Here is a 14,915-nt window from a genome sequence, read left to right on the forward strand (position 1 = left end):
AAACCACATATATGATGGTGGTCCCGTAAGATTATAATACTTTATTGGTACGGTACCTTTTCTGTTTTTAGATACACAAGTACTGCCCACTGTGTTACAGTTGCTTACAGCATTCAGTACGGTAACATGTTATACAGGTTGGTAGCCTAGGAGTAGTAGCTAGACAGTATAGCCTAGGTGTGTAGTAGGCTGCACCATCTAGGTTCTTGTAAGCGCGCTCTGCGATGTTTACACAATGATGACATCACCTAAGGATGCATTTCTCAGACTGTATCCCCATTGTTAAGTGATGCTGACTGTATTCAAATTTTTGCTATTACAAATAATGTTGATGAATATTCTTGTAGTTATGCCCATGGTTATTTCCTTAAAAATCCCAAAATTATTGCTGGGTCAGATATTTAATCTTTCAGTTGTTCCAAGCGATTCTTTAGTATTATTGTACCTCTTATGTGTACAAGGTTGTTTTAATATGTTTTAATAGAATTTTATTCTAAGTACATTATATTTTACTGTGTTAATGTTGGGCATCTCAATATTAAACTGTTTCATAGTCACATATCTTGCATCTTTAAAACTTTGAACTAAGCCTAAATCGTTTCTGGATTTTCTGCAATATTTCTTTCAGAGTCCTGTTCGATTTGATACCTTTGATAGCCTTTCACTAAGTATTCCAGCCGCCACATGGGTATGTACTGATTTATGGTTTATTTGGAGTCTGTTTCAGAAACATTTCAATCTGAAAGGGCTTTGAGGCATTTTATGTGGCTCAGGCACTATGTGTAATTCAGATACATGGTTGGTTGAACCCTCTCTTAACTTTCATATGGTGGCATGATTATGGGAGAGAGGAAAATGAATCGTTTTTCTTTTGCTCCAGAAATTTTGGCTTTTTGAATACACACGCACGCATGCGCGCACACACACACACACACACACACACACACACACACACACAGACATTAACCTCAGATTGAAAGATACCTAAAACAGCGTGGAAGTCCACAAGTTCGTGCAGTTACATCCTCATGCTCTAGAATCTGTCCGTAGTAGCAGTCTAGGGTGCTTTGAGCCCCATGTTTGTCCAGGAAACATCCAGTTGTGACTATAAAACTTTATTGCCTGCATACATCAAAATAAAGCTCTGGTCTTCACACTGCCATCTGCTAACAGTTTCAGTATAGCTGTCCTTTGAATTGTAGTAATTTTCTTCTTCTCATGCTGTAGGGTCACCCATTGACCCTGGACCACTGCCTTCACCACTTCATCTCATCAGAATCAGTGCGGGATGTTGTGTGTGACAACTGTACAAAGGTATGCATTGAACCCCAAATGTCATCGCCAGCTGGCCTGTGTGTGCTGATGTAGCGCCTCTCACACCAGTGACCCTGAGCTCTTCTGACTGTATCCAGTGGGTCTTTTCAGCCACTTCTACTTCTCCCTAATTTGGTTTGGACATTGGCAGCTCATGGACCAAATCTCTTTCCCAGATGAGTTTTGTTTCATGCACAGTGTTTAAAGAATAAACTGTCACGCTGAGATGAGAAATGCCCTCTCCAGTTTGCTGCAGTTGCCTCCAATCCCATTTGTTTTACACCCTTCCTTTTAACCTGTGCTACCTGCCTGACTCCCCTAAGTAACTTGAGTTTTCCCCTCTGACTCAAGAGGAACTGTATGGAACAGAATTTTTGAAGACAGAGAACAATTAATAGATGACATGCCAGTGTCAGAGCATCAGTGTTCGCTCTTCACATTCTCTTCCCTCCACTGTTTCTGTTATTTAATGACTAAGAGGGATCAGGGAAAACAATTCACAAATAACTGGGCAGCTGGGTTCATTTCAGCAGGTAGCAGTCAAGTGCCAATTGTGTGCCGCTATAACACCACTGTGGTCTGCAGCACTCCAAAGCTGTCCTATTTTAGGCATTGCTGCAGAGAAATGTTCCTTTTATTTCAGATTGAAGCCAAGGGAACGTTGAACGGGGAAAAGGTGGAACACCAGAGGACCACTTTTGTTAAACAGTTAAAACTAGGGAAGGTGAGCCCACACTACACACCCTGTTGGCTTTGTTTTGAGGACTCCGTGTATCCTGCCCCTGAAACAACTCGGTTCTCCCGATTTCTCTTCCACCCGCAGCTCCCTCAGTGTCTCTGCATCCACCTACAGCGGCTGAGCTGGTCCAGCCACGGCACGCCTCTGAAGCGGCATGAGCACGTGCAGTTCAATGAGTTCCTGATGATGGACATTTACAAGTACCACCTCCTTGGACATAAACCTAGTCAACACAACCCTAAACTGAACAAGAACCCAGGGCCTACACTGGAGCTGCAGGATGGGCCGGGAGCCCCCACACCAGGTGTGTGCGCGCGAGGAGCCGATGCAGCAGGAATTTTCAGCACAGAGAAAAGCAGTTTGGCATCACCACCTTCTGGGTCCCTTATGACAGGAGCACAAGGCTTGTACAATGGTGCTTAAACTCTTGAGAACAGCAGGATTGGGGGTGGAAGAGGGAAGATTTCTTAGAAGAGGTTAAAATTATGTAGCAGTGAGATGTATCGTTTTTGAAACCATATTACAGATGAAAAAGTACAGAGAGAAACGCTTAAAATTGCAGCTTTGCCTTCTAATTTTTCCGCTAAATGATATAATCATTGGCTCACATCATTCCAGTGAATTTCTTTTTTCGGTCATGTCATTTCCTGTCAGTAGAGGAAATGTAGGGAGGACATGTCCTGGCTAAAGATCACTGAGCCTCTTCTGGGGGTTGAAATGCCTTCTGTACTGAATTATGTATCTGATTCCATTACTGCCCTCAGCTGAGGTCTCATTTAAGCCGGGTAGCTATTATCGCCGGTCTTACTGATAAGAACATGGAGGCTCCACGGGGTTGAATGATTGGTCCAAGGGCAAACACCACACAGGAGAACTGGCCCTAGAATGCCATGTTGGGCCATTTTCTAAAGGTGTCTCATGTGACACACTGAGTTCTTTAGAGTTAGACATGAGGAAAACCCACTCACTTGAAGGGCTCACAGCCTGAACTCACCACCTGTCTGCTGCCCCCAGTTAGGTCAGGATTGTCTCACACCCCATACTTTCCTATTTAGGGTCCCTTACTCCTTTTGTTCTTTTTATGACCACAGTTGCATGGCCCGACACCTCATCATGTCAGGGAGATTGTGTTTTCCTCTTTCTCATCAAGTCACTAGATTAACATCGAAAAGAGATGAGGTAGGGGACAGACTCTGGTTCAGTCCTTGGCCCTGGTTTTAAATCAAAGACCTCTGCACCCCAGCTTCCCCATCTCCTGGGCTGGGGTGCAGGTTTACTAATGTTGAGAGCATGCTGGCTGTGGTTAAAGATGCCAGCAGTAGGGCCACTCGTGGTGGCTCACACCTGCAATCCCAGCACTTTGGGAGATTGAGGTGGGAGGATTGCCTGAACCCAGATGTTTGAGGCTGCAGTGAGCTGTGATCACACCACTGTGCTCCAGCCTGGGCAACAGAGCAAGATCCTGTCTAAAACACACACAAAAAATGTCATCAGGAAACTACTTGGTACATAACAGCCCCCAAAAATGACACTTGAAAGGAAAAGACATGTAAATATGGCCTTAATTATGTTGTCTACCCATAAACATGTATGAATGCTATTACACGTTGGTATTCCTTAGAAGCTGACAGAATTAAAGCAAATAGAATGCTTAGATCAGTGGTTCTCAACTTGGAGGAGTTTTGCCTCCCAAGGGACATTGGGCAGTGTCTGGTAACATTTTTGGTTATCACTACTGGGGGAGGGGTGCTACTGGTGTCTAGTGGGTAGAGGCCAGGGATGCTGTTCAACATCCTCTAATGCACAGGACAGCCCCCGCAACAAAGAATGATCCAGCCAAAACCATCATGGTGCTGCTGTTGAGAAACCTTGGTTTAGGTCAAAAGCCAGTAAATTAGCTACTGATTAACTTTGATACATGGCATTAGCAAACAGGGCTAGGAAGCTCAAAGATCCCAGGCTAGCCGTAAAGCTGGAGCTAGATACACTTTTCCTATTTGGGATTAAGACAGATTATCCCTATTTGAGATTAAGGATAAAGGGCAGATTATTTTATGAATCTATATAATACCAAATGAAATAGATTTTTTTCTTTGTAGCATTATGGGGAGTTAACTTTCAAGGTAATCAAAACCAGGTTTTGTTTACAGAGCCACTGCTAATTTTCATTGACTCGGGCCTTTTTCTCTTGCAGTTCTGAATCAGCCAGGGGCCCCCAAAACACAGATTTTTATGAATGGCGCCTGCTCCCCATCTTTATTGCCAACGCTGTCAGCGCCGATGCCCTTCCCTCTCCCAGTTGTTCCCGACTACAGGTGAGCCACCCTTTACAAGCCCCATCTTAGAGCTACCACTGCTCTTAGCTTCTAAAATTAGCTTTTCACAGAAATGAATTAAGGAAAATATAGATGTTTATTTTTCATTTTAAGGTGAAGTTTCACGATTACACATTCCTATTTATTTTTGTCCAAAATGGAAATAACTTTTAAATTAAAAATTTTTAAAGTACATAAAATTTACATATGCATATGTATGTGTGTATATATGTGTGTATGTATAAAATATAAAGAAAATTTAAAATTTCTTGGGATACCATCTAGAGATAGCCAATTAAACACTTAGGGTCATGCACTCTATAAAGTTGTACATCACACATACATATAGTGTACATAAACACATACACTCATTGATACAAACATCCACATATACACAATATACATATACTCATAGAATGTACATCTTGCCATGCCAGTAAATACAGATCTGTATTTTAATAGTTGTGTAGCATTTGGTGGTATGGACTTACCATTGTATTCATCCCCTATTTAACATTAGCATTCTTTTGTTTTTGCCTATAAAGTCTTTTTGTTAAAATTGTAAACCCCTGACATGTGTTCGTATCATTCAGCTCCTCCACATACCTCTTCCGGCTGATGGCAGTTGTCGTCCACCATGGAGACATGCACTCTGGACACTTTGTCACTTACCGACGGTCCCCACCTTCTGCCAGGAACCCTCTCTCAACTAGCAATCAGTGGCTGTGGGTCTCCGATGACACTGTCCGCAAGGCCAGCCTGCAGGAGGTCCTGTCCTCCAGCGCCTACCTGCTGTTCTACGAGCGCGTCCTTTCCAGGATGCAGCACCAGAGCCAGGAGTGCAAGTCTGAAGAATGACTGTGCCCTCCTGCAAGGCTAGAGCTGATGGCACTGTCTGCACTGTCCAGGAAAAAAGTAAAACTGTACTGTTGCGTGTGCAAGCGGCCCCACTAGAGCCTTCCAGCCTTCTGGTGTGTTCTAAGAGCAGGCTCCACCTGGGAGCCAGCCCCAGTTCACACCAAACCAGGCTCCCTGAACAGTCCTGTTCATGTGTGTAGGTGGTTCTGTTGTGTTAAGAAAGCATTCATTATGTCCGGAGTGTCTTTTTACTCATCTGATACAGGTAATTAAAAGAACTCAGATTCTTGAAGCCACCGTTTTCATATTGTAATGTTAGGTGTTCTCAGAGGGGAGGTACCTTTGTCTAATCAACGTTTCCACTTAGATCTTTTATTTTTAATAAGCAGGCCCATAAAAATTGTTGACAAGAATTAATGAAATTATTAAAGGCAACAATTTAGAAGAAAAAGTGCCTTTCACTTTCGATTGCTTTTGTAGCACGTCCATTGTGAAATATTCCTTCCAGGCTACTCAAAGGATAGCAAGAGAACAGGTAAATGATGCCTAAAGAACACCTTCCTTTTTCTATGCCTTTTCTAATCTTTCAATTCTTTCTATGGAGTAAAGGCTCATCTGCCAAATCTGCCCCCTGGGGAAACTCTTTCACTACTTTGTCAGTTATAAGTGAAGAGCTTACTTGTTGCTTTTATCTTTTGTATATTGGACTGAGATGTAATTACACTGTATTATAAAACTCTGTGAATAGCCAGAACTGAGCTGGATCTTTGCAACACCTGATTCCTCTGCTCTGTGGAAAACTTTTTCTTACACAAGGATCCACTGTGGACGGTTACTTTCATCTGTTTATTTATTGCCCATGCAGAGCTCTTAAGGTTTACAGGTGGGAGCTTGGGGCTGTATAAAAAAATAATCCCTGCCCTGAGTTGACACCTGGCTTAGGAAGGAAGGGCTGACTATGGGGCTGCAGTCTCTCTGAACCTCAGTTTCCTCATTTGTGAAGTGAAGGGTTAGATTTGATGACCACCAAAGTTCAGCCCTTTTCACGAAAAGGAGAAAGCAGCTTTTGACTTTTTAAAAAACATATAACTACAGCTGGCATCTAGTATTGTCATGTTGCTCTAGGTCCATATTCTGAATTTATTCATTTCCAATAGCCTAATACAAAAAGTATATATTGAGCACTTTCTTCCCTTTTCAGGTAAGTCTCTGAATGCAGCCCAGGGCCAAAGGAATTTTGATGACACAGTAGTACCTATGTTTTAAGCTATATTTTTAATTTAGAAAAATGGATACCAAATTCAAACCGACTCATCAGAGGTAAGATTTGGAATCAGACCTTTCCAAAAGGTCATCTGAGGTAAGGCTAAGACCGCACTTCCTCTGCTGGGGGTGAGCTGGCAGACACACCAAACAGTGCCTTGGCAGCAGCTCACAGTGCAGGAAGCCCAGGTGATCACTCTTCTGCTGGGCCCAGGCTGCACCCTGAGGACTCAGTAACTCACTCTCAACAGAATATTCTGTGCAGGCTCTCCAGGCTCTGGGCGTCAGGGTGCAAGGGGCAGCTTGAACTGTACGGTCCGTCCTGCACTCACCCGATGCAGACCTTGACTTTGATGTTGAAATGAACACACTTGTTTTACCCAAGTCTGGTGGAACAAATGCCCAATCATGTGACCTTAAAGTGTACTGCAAAGCTGTAGCTTTAAGTAATTGCTGTTCTGCCACTGCTTACTCTGAAATCTACCATCAAAGAAAGATAGAGAAAAGGGGCTGAGCCTTGGAATATATGGTTATAAGCAGATCTTTCTTTGGTCAGAGACCAGGGTTTGAGCCAAGGCTGTAAATGTGAACAATAGCTGTGCAAAGCCTTTTAACCTGACTTCTTCATTTTGTAAATTATTATGCATTAAGTAGCAGCCCAATAATCTGATTTCTAGTTTTATTTTCAAAGTAAGTAGCTTCTTTTGGGAAAAACCTAAGTTAAACTAGTAGTTTTGCCATAATAACTGCTGATTTATGTATTTGCTAAAGGTACTTTTGTATCTGCTGTGTATTATAGCAATAAAATAATCATTTTGTTAGAAAAAAATCACCTGGTGTTCTTTTGTAATACACTGATCTGTTACAAACATCATCTTTCTGAATTCTGCATTGTTACATAACAAGCCCTACGCTTTAAACCTTTCTGTGTTCCCTGTTGGTAAGGGAAATGCCAGCTCCCTCTTAGAGTCGAGAGGGAAAGAGAAAAGAGAAAAACTGTTAAAAATGTTTTTATTTTTTAGTAAGCAAAATTTTACGAAAAGTCAGATTCACCCGTGGAGCCAGAACCTTCTTTCTCACGGGAAGACTGTGGTACCAGTGCGTGTTGGTCGGGTGGTTCATCATTAGTAAGCTCCCGTGGGCCAGCGGCAGCCTGACCACCGCCACCCTCCTGGAGGGGCTTTTCCCACGGGAATCCTTATGCCGGAAGACAAAGTCTCTGCAGGCACCGAAGGAGACAGAGGCAATGGGGCTCCCAGGGGCCAGTTCTCTTTCATCATCTCGGTGCTCCCCGATGTGGTCACAGCCATCTTTATACCTGCAATGAGAAAACAAACACAGTGCATAAAAACAACCCTCTCCTGAAACTCACCAGCACCGCCAGCCCTCGTTTTCCTCACAGTGTGAAACAGCACTCTGCATGGCTGTACCTGCCGTTGTTTCTGCGAGGGCTTGAGGTCCACAGTGGGCTCTAAGATAAGCCAACGCTGAAGAGGTCTGTTGACGTATTTGTTCATGTGACTTATTTATTATTATTTTTGAGAGGGTCTCGCTCTGTCACCCAGGCTGAAGTGCAGTGGCACAATCATAGCTCACTGCAGCCTCGGCCTCCTGGGCTCAAGTGATTCTCCCACTTCAGCCTCCCAAGTAGCTGGGACTATAGGTATGCACCACCCCACCTAGCTAATTTCTTTTCTTTTGCAGAAACAGTTTCACCATGTTACCCAGGCTGGTCTCAAACTCGGGCTCAAGCAATTCACTCTCCTTGGCCTCCCAAAGTGTTGGGATTACAGGCATGAGTCACCACGTCCGGCCAGTTCATGTGCTTTAAAACTGAAGACACCCAAAGCCAAAATCACGTCTTACTGTAGTTCCCCTGGCCAGTCTATGTAAACCTTTATCACATGATTTTGCCCTGCACTCAAAGGCCATACTCTGCATAGCCCGGCCCCTGCCCACTGCTGAGCTCATGCCATCCCCTTCTTTCCCTCATTCACTGCTTTCCGGCCATCCTGCAGCATTTTTGCTTCACAGACACTCCAGAGTCCCTCTGCTCTCCCTCCAGATGTCTGTGGCTGGCACTCTCCATTTAGTTATCAGCTCAAACGCACTGCCTCAGCCCTCCTCTAACCACCCCATCTGAAGTGACCTTCCCTTAAACCCACCCAGGGTTCTCCACCAGGGTGATTCTGCCCCAGGGGACAGGTATTGGGGGGTGGGGGACACTACTTGCAATCTAGTGGATGGAGGCCAGGGATCTGCTCAACATCCTGCAAGGCACAGGTCAGCCCCAACAACAACGAATGACTGGGCCCAAAATGTCTGCAGTGCTGCCGTTGAGAAACCTTGCCCTAATCGCAAACCTCTCAGCCATTCTCAGTCAAATCGGCCTGTTTAATTTTTTGCAAGATGGTTATCACTGTCTGAAATCGTCTAGGGTCAGGCATAGTCGTTCACGCCTGTAATCCCAGCACTTTGGGAGGCTGAGGTGGGAGGATCGCTTGAGCCTAGCAGTTTGAGACCAAGCCTGGGCAACATAGAAAAACCCTGTCTCAAAAAAAAAAAAGAAAGAAAAAGAGAAGAAGAAATTATCTCATTCAGCTGTTTGTTCAGGAGTTAATCACCTCTCACTTCCTACTCCGGGATGAGCTCCAGGATCCAGGAAGACCGAGTGCTGGCGCTATTCCACTCTTAGAGCCCCAGTGTACTAAGAAATGATTTGTACCAATGAACCAAATAGGGTGGAACCCTAAACACTTCCTTTTGGAGGAGACAGAAGACTTGTAACATTGAGTCCACTAAACAGGGTGTCACCTGTTGATGAGCACAAAGTTGAAGGTCTGTCCAGTCACCCCAGAGACGTGATCCCGGATGCGCTCTAGAACTGGGATCCAGGGCTTTGGAGACAGCGTGAGGCCTGAAAATGTGTAGGTCAGCCCAGCGTCGCCATACGTTGCCTGCTTCCTGGGCACACTGTGCCACTTCCCGAATACCTGGACTCTGGCCAGTGCTCCTGTGCAGAGGAAACATGGCAGTTCCTTTCTACCTGACCCCCATCTAGAAATCCAGATGCCCCCCCCAACCCGCACTGCCATCACCAGAAATCCAGTGCCCCACATACATGCTCCCTGGGTATTCAAGATTGAAAGGGAAGTAAGGAATAACATTTCCCCGTCATTCCATGCAATTTAAACCCCTCTTCAATCATCATTTTGGCTTGCCCCAAATTTTCTTTTTGTTTTGTTTTCTTTGAGACAGGGTCTCCCTGTGTCACCCAGGCTGGAGTACAGTAGCACAATCTCAGCGCACTTCAACCTCCACCTCCCGTGCTCCAGCAATCCTCCCGCATCAGCCTCCTGAATAGCTGGGACCACAGGGGCGTGCCACCATGCCTGGCTAACTTTTTTGTAAGCTCACTGCAACCTCCACCTCCAGGGCTCCAGCAGCCCTCCTGCCTCAGCCTCCTGAGTAGCTGGGACCACAGGGGCATGCCACCATGCCCGGCTAACTTTTTTTGTATTTTTTTGTAAGACACAGGGTTTTATCATGTTGCCTAGACTGGTCTTGAACTCCTGGGCTCAAGTGGTCCGCCCACCTCAGTCTCCCAAAGTCTGGGATTATAGGTGTGCACCACTGCACCAAGCCAACTGCCCCAAATGTTCATGTAAGAACAGTGACTCTTGTTCTACAAGGAGAGAAACATGGTCCTGGGCCATTTTTTTAGTGAACACTGTAACTTAACTGCCTTAACTACAGTAAGGGCAGAATAAAGAGGCTGAAATTGGAACACGATAAAGTTAGTTTACAGGCTAGGATAGCTTGTCAACTGTAGGGACTAAGGGCATGTGACCCCATGAAAGATGGGGCTCACACTGCTGGGGTCTCTTGTGGGCATTTCTTTTTTTAAAGAGATGGTGAGCCAGGCGCGCTGGCTCATGCTTGCAATCCCAGCACTTTGGGAGGCCAAGGCGAGGATCACTCAAGGCCAGGAGTTCAATTAACAGCCTGGGTAACACAGTGAGACCTACAGATAATTTAAAAATTATCCAGGCTTGGTGGTGTACATCTGTGGTCCCAGTTACTTAGGATGCTGAGGTGGGAGAATCACTTGAGCCCAGGCGGACGAGGCTGCAGTGAGCCAAGATCGTGCCCCTGCCCTCCAGCCTAGGTGACAGAGCGAGACCCTGTCTCAAAGCATAAAAGAATAAAGTGACGAGGGGGTCTCACTATGTTGCCCAGGCTGGACTTGAACTCCTGGCCTCAAGTGATCCTCCTGCCTCAGCCTCCAGAGTAGCTGGGATTACAGGTGTGTACCACCGTGCCTGGCCTGTGGGCTTTCGTTTTTTGTTTTGTTTTGTTTTGAGACACAGTCTCACTCTGTTGCCCAGGCTGGAGTGCAGTGGTGCGATCTCGGCTCACTGCAACCTCTGCCTCCCGGTTTCAAGTGATTGTCCTGCCTCAGCCTCTCAAGTAGCTGGGACTACAGGCATGCACCACTACGCACAGCTCATTTTTTGTTGTTGTTGTTGTATTTTAGTAGAGATAGGGTTTCACCATATTGGCCAAGCTGGTCTCGAACTCCTGACCTCAAGTGATTCGCCCGTCTCGGGCTCCCAAAGTGCTGGGATTACAGGCGCGAGCCACCACGCCTAGCTTCCTGTGGGCTTTTCTATGCCTCTCTGCCAGATCCTTGTGTCCTCATTACAGGATAGAGGTGTGGTTCTCAACATGTGCTCCCCAGACCAGCAGCACCTGGACTCTCCTTAGAAACTAAACTAAACCACAGGGGTAGGGTCCAGCAATCCAAGTCCTGCCAACAGCAAGTCCACCAGGTGATGCTGAGAACCACTGGTGTGGAGAAATTACCTGGTTATTTGCCATCTCTCCTATGAGACCAGTGATTCTCAAACCCTGACTGCCCATGAGAATCACCTGGAAGCTTTTTAAACAAACAAGTGGTCAGCCTGCACTCGGAGCGATTCTGATTGAAGTGCTCTGCAGTAGAACCCAGCACGTTTTTTTACTTTGTTTTGTAAACTTTCCCAGAAGATACTCATCAGTAGCCAAGGAGAGATTCACTCGAGTCATCTGTCAGCTCCTAGTAGACAGGCAATCCAGTTTCTTTCAAGTTTATGTCCCAAGCACCTAAGGGGCTTAGCCCAGAGGTGCTCAGAGAATATTGGATGAATCCATTAGTGAACCCATCAGTAAATAATGGATCCTGAGTTCAGATTTCTCCAAACATACGATCATTAATTGCACCAAACAAGCCCTCAATGCACACACACACACACACACACCCCTCTGCTTACCTGTAAAATATTCTACTTCTTTCTCCAACTCTTGGAAAATCTCATCTGCCTCAGCTTTGCCAAACAGGACTGTGTAACTGCAGTCCAGGCCCTCAGCCCGAATGTGCCGCCAGCTAGGGCCTGCTGAGTGGCCTCCATTCCCTGGGGCCTCTCTCCTGGGCCTCTTCCTTGTGCTTTCTTTGTCTCCTCCCAACACAGCTGGCTCTTCTCCAGTTGGCTCTTGCTCCTCCTGCTTCCTCAAAAGGCCCCCTTGAGCCCCTTTCACCAGGAATCTGTCCATCCTGTCCCCACAGGAAAGAAGGGACGTCAGTGGCGAGGCCAAGACAGAAATTGCTCAAGTTCTATCCCCAGTGCAAAAATCTGTTTGTCCAAGGGGTCTCACAGCAACATTCCTAGTTTCACATTTTCATTTTAAAGTTTAAAACCATGTCCTAGAAAGGAAACAGAAGATGTTAAAGCCGGAAGGGACCCTAGGGACAATCTGATCCAGGGTCTCCCACGTCCACCTGTGCATCAGAATCAGCTGGCTAGCTTGCAAAAACCCAGAGGTCTGCACTCCACGCCTGAGCACCTGAATTTTTAAAGAACTACCTCCTGGGAATTCGCACGCCACAGCTAAACTTAGAAACTACAATCCAAACCCTCATTTTGCAGAAGGGGAAACTGTTGCCCACAGAGGCGAAGAGGTTTGCCCAAAGTCAACTGTCCACCCCTTTAAGGAGGAAGGACCCATAACTGACCTCGCTGCCCCCCACCAGTGTTAAAATAGATCAGTCTAGTGATGCTCAAGTGGATACGATTCAGAAGCGAGACGCAAAGAGGTTAAACACGGGTAAACCGCACGCAAAATTCTGATATCACTGCAACACGTCCGTGGGGTGGGGGTGGCAAGAGTGCTCTAGCATCGCAGCTCCGGCGCAGATCGGAATCCCGCAGTCACCCTGGTGGCCTCGTGGTGGGAAAGACGCGCCCCAGCGAATCGGTCGCGTCACTTCCGGAGCACGCTGGGAACTACGGCAGGCTAGGGCGCAAAGAGAGCAGCCGGGCGGCCCCCTGGTGCCACCTGCTGGCCTCCCGTGTGTGGCAAGCACTGCCGCTTTCCCGTTGATCACCTGTTGGGCCACTGTCGAGAATCACGGCTGGGGTGAGAACTGTGGCTTGGCGTCACTTCTCAGTGAGGGTTACTTTGGTGTCCGGAAAGGGCGTTGGGCCACCAGTATATTGTCACGAGTGGGAGCAGGAGTTCTGCAGTCGGATATCGTGGATTCTGTTTCTGTCTCCTCCGCCCTGGCTGTGTGGCCTCCCACAGGTCACTTAACCTCTCTGGGGTTAAGTTGCCTCATCTGTGAAGTGCGGACTACAGCACCTATGTCATGAGAGCGCCTGAGGAGATGACAGGATGCATGAGAAATGCTCTGTCCTCTAAATAAATGTTGGTTCCATTATTGCTCGTTTTTCTTTGTTTTCTTGTTTTTTGATGTTGTTCTTGTTTGTTTTGTTTTTTTGAGACAGGATCTCACTCTGTTGCCCAAGCTGGAATGCAATGGCATGATCATAGCTCACTGCAGCCTTGAACTCCTGGGTTAGAGCGATCCTCCCGTCTCAGCCTCTGGAGTAGCTGGGACTACAGGCACATCCCACCCCACCCTAAATAATTTTTTTATTATTTTTAGTAGAGATAGGGCCTTGCTATGTTGCCCAGGCTGGTCTCAAGCTCCTGGGCTCAAGTGATCCTCCCACCTGGGCCTCCCAAATTGTTGGGATTACAGGCGTGAGCCACCACGACCGGCTCCTAATTTTTATTTACTCTGTCTCCCCTCAATGGAACGAAAGCTCCATGAGATCAGAGGCTTTGTTTTGACAGATTTCAACAAATGTACAATATTGTATGATCACCACCACAATCAAGATCTAAGACAGTTCCGTCCCTCCATAAAACTGCTCCAGCCTCTTAATCAACTTCGCCCATCACCCAGCATCAGCAACCACTGATCTGTCTTCTCTCCCTATAGTTTTGCCTTTTCCAGAATTTCATATACAGGGAATTGCCGTGGTTTGAATATCTGTTCCTCCAAAATCCGCGTTGAAATTTAATCCTCAGTGTGGCAGTATTGAGAGGTGGGGCCTTGAAGAGGTGATTGGGACATGAGAGCTCTGTCATAATGTCCTCATAAATGAATTAATAGATTAATGGGCTCAGGGGTTAATGGGTTAATGGGTTACCGTGGGAGTGGGACTGGTGGCTTTATAAAAGGAAGAAGAGAGACCTGAGCTAGCACACTCAGGCCCCTCGCGATGTGATGCCCTACACGGCTTCAGGACTCAACAGAGTCCCCACCAGCAAGAGGGTTTTCACCAGATGCAGCCCCTCAACCTCGGACCTCTCAGCCTCTATGAGAAATGCCTTTGTGGGACTTCTTTCACTTAAGCATATTGCTTTTAAGATTCATTTATGCGCCCCCCCACCTCCCCGCTTTTTTTTGTGAGACAAGGTCTGGCTCTACTGCCTAAGCTGGAGTGCAGTTGCATGATCTCGGCTCACTGCAACCTCCACTTCCCAGGCTCCACTCCCACCTCAGCCTCCCAAGTAGCTGGGACTACAGGCATGCACCACTACACCCGGCTAATTTTTGTATTTTTTGTAGAGATGGGTTTTTGCCATGTTGCCCAGGCTGGTCTCCATAGTCTTCAGCTGGTGAGCTGAAGAAATCCGCCTGCCTTGGCCTCCCAAAGTGCTGGAATTGCAGTCATGAGCCGCTGTGCCCAGTCGTATATGCACATTTGTATTACTTATTTGTTCCTTTTTATTACTGGTATAGAAGGGATGCCCCACAGGAGTAGGCCCCACATAGGGTTGTTTCTCTGATTTTAGGTTACTATGAGTAAAATCACTATAAACATTCACATACAAGCTTTGTGAATATAGTTTTTCATTTCCCTTGGGTAAATAATGCCTAGGTGTGGGAGTGCTGGGTCATAGTGGCTCTAAGGGCAAATGATTTTCAGCTTTGAGCCTCTCTCCCTTAGACTTCAGCTTCTTGTCCTAGGCACTGGGACACACCAGCAACAAGAAGCAGCAAGTTCCTTTCTTCACTCAGGTTACATTTCGGGGAT

The 14,915-nt window shown here is 46.3% G+C and overlaps 2 protein-coding genes across 22 annotated transcripts in view; one reads left to right on the top strand and one right to left on the bottom strand.

Annotated features, from left to right (window-relative positions):
- Nucleotides 1-7,318, top strand: part of USP30 (ubiquitin specific peptidase 30) — a 64,935-nt gene extending 57,617 nt beyond the window's left edge. For 8 of the 14 annotated variants that reach the window (XM_047429732.1, XM_017020052.3, XM_017020051.3 and 5 more), the window contains 6 exons: nucleotides 629-688; nucleotides 1,228-1,314; nucleotides 1,958-2,038; nucleotides 2,138-2,468; nucleotides 4,248-4,368; nucleotides 4,962-7,318. In XM_047429732.1, the coding sequence (XP_047285688.1) occupies nucleotides 629-688; nucleotides 1,228-1,314; nucleotides 1,958-2,038; nucleotides 2,138-2,468; nucleotides 4,248-4,368; nucleotides 4,962-5,226 (945 nt within the window). In that variant the 3' untranslated portion in view covers nucleotides 5,227-7,318. The remainder of the gene's footprint in view (nucleotides 1-628; nucleotides 689-1,227; nucleotides 1,315-1,957; nucleotides 2,039-2,137; nucleotides 2,469-4,247; nucleotides 4,369-4,961) is intronic. The other 6 variants (NM_001301175.2, NM_032663.5, XM_005253962.4 and 3 more) reach the window with 1 other exon arrangement.
- A 165-nt stretch (nucleotides 7,319-7,483) lies between these two features.
- ALKBH2 (alkB homolog 2, alpha-ketoglutarate dependent dioxygenase) lies at nucleotides 7,484-12,767 on the bottom strand. Of its 8 annotated transcripts, none has more exons than NM_001145375.2 (4): nucleotides 12,645-12,767; nucleotides 11,802-12,082; nucleotides 9,304-9,502; nucleotides 7,484-7,807 (listed from the first exon to the last, which is right to left on the bottom strand). In NM_001145375.2, the coding sequence occupies exons 2-4, from the start codon at nucleotides 12,079-12,081 to the stop codon at nucleotides 7,501-7,503; spliced, it is 786 nt and encodes a 261-aa protein (NP_001138847.1). In that variant the 5' UTR covers nucleotide 12,082; nucleotides 12,645-12,767; the 3' UTR covers nucleotides 7,484-7,500. The 8 variants fall into 8 exon arrangements, with proteins under 8 accessions (NP_001138847.1, XP_005253892.1, NP_001001655.1 ...); XM_005253835.6 differs by having other exon boundaries at nucleotides 11,802-12,232; NM_001001655.3 differs by having other exon boundaries at nucleotides 12,542-12,767.

This window comes from Homo sapiens, chromosome 12 (assembly GCF_000001405.40).
Source record: "Homo sapiens chromosome 12, GRCh38.p14 Primary Assembly".
In the NCBI taxonomy this organism is placed as follows: Eukaryota; Metazoa; Chordata; class Mammalia; order Primates; family Hominidae; genus Homo; species Homo sapiens.